A 1,173-nucleotide genomic window follows, 5' to 3' on the forward strand; every position below is an offset into this window, starting at 1 on the left:
CTGAGGCGGGGGAATTGCTTGAACCAGGGAGGTGGAGGTTGCAGTGAGCCGAGATCATGCCTCCACACTCCAGCCTGGGCGACAGAGCAAGACTCTGTCTAAAAAAAAAAAGAATGCACAGTTGGCACCCAGCCATTATGCAGGACAGGAGCAGTTCTTCATTGGGAGCGTCACCCAGAGCATTGCAGGCTGTCTAGCATTTCTGCCTTTTCCCGTTAAATGGCGAGACCATCCCAACTCAACCATTAAGACAACAAAATTCACCCCCACAGATGCTTTCCCAATGAGAATCACTGCACCAAACCAAGAAGACACACAGAGAGGTGAATGGGGATATTGGGTAGGACTCCAAGATTTTCCTCAGACCTCAAAGATAATGAGACATCACCTCAACATGATTTCCTGTGACTATCCAGACTTGTTAGGCTTTTTCTTCAGCAAAGGAGTCAGGAATGAACAGAAAAGACTCTAGTAGACTCCAAGGTGAGTGTCCCGTTGGCTTTTCCCTCTCTGGACCCTGGGAGAAGAGGAGGAGGTAGATGACTGCTCGGCAGACAAGCTCTTCCTCCCCACCCCACTCAAACCCAACAAGACAAACTTCACTTCTTGATTTCTGTTTTTAAAAAGGAAGAACAAATAAAGCAAGAGGCTGAAACTGAATGAAATTCAGTTCTCCTGTCCCTCACATCTCCTGTCTATTAATAGCCTCTTTGAATGAGTCACATTGAGACATTTATTGGCTGTCTCTGAGAGTGCTTTTACCCAAAATAGTTCCCAAGCCATGTTTCTATGCTGCTGTGATGCTGGGACAGCCAACACAGGCGCCGTTTCTCAAAGAAGAAACATGCATGTAAATCAGGTTTCACCTGGGCGGGCTGGGCCGGGGCCCAGAGTCAAAATACCAATCGGCCCCTCACAAACTTAAAATACTGAGGGCATGAATGCTTCATCCTCCGGACTCTCCCCCAGAGACCAGCCTCCTGGCGTCTCCTTGAAGAAGCACCTCATTGTCTCCACAGACCTTGGTGTTGTCTCAACTCTTACATGGTTTCTTTAATGGCTTTTTGGGGGAATGCTGTTGTGCTTCCACATGTGTGTACTGAGGGGACAGGGACAGAGAGAAAACAAGTGAGATGTTATTTCTCCCAGGACCCTAGAGCCAGGGTCTGCTCC

At 48.3% G+C, this 1,173-nt stretch overlaps 1 annotated feature.

Moving 5' to 3' along the window:
- Positions 582-911: an enhancer, noted in NCBI's record as "active region_2235". NCBI's record gives its function as "activates an Ori minimal core promoter by ATAC-STARR-seq in GM12878 lymphoblastoid cells {active_cell/tissue: GM12878}" and the evidence as "EXISTENCE:reporter gene assay evidence [ECO:0000049][PMID:35858748]".

The sequence above is a fragment of the Homo sapiens genome, chromosome 1, assembly GCF_000001405.40.
Source record: "Homo sapiens chromosome 1, GRCh38.p14 Primary Assembly".
Lineage (NCBI taxonomy): Eukaryota > Metazoa > Chordata > Mammalia > Primates > Hominidae > Homo > Homo sapiens.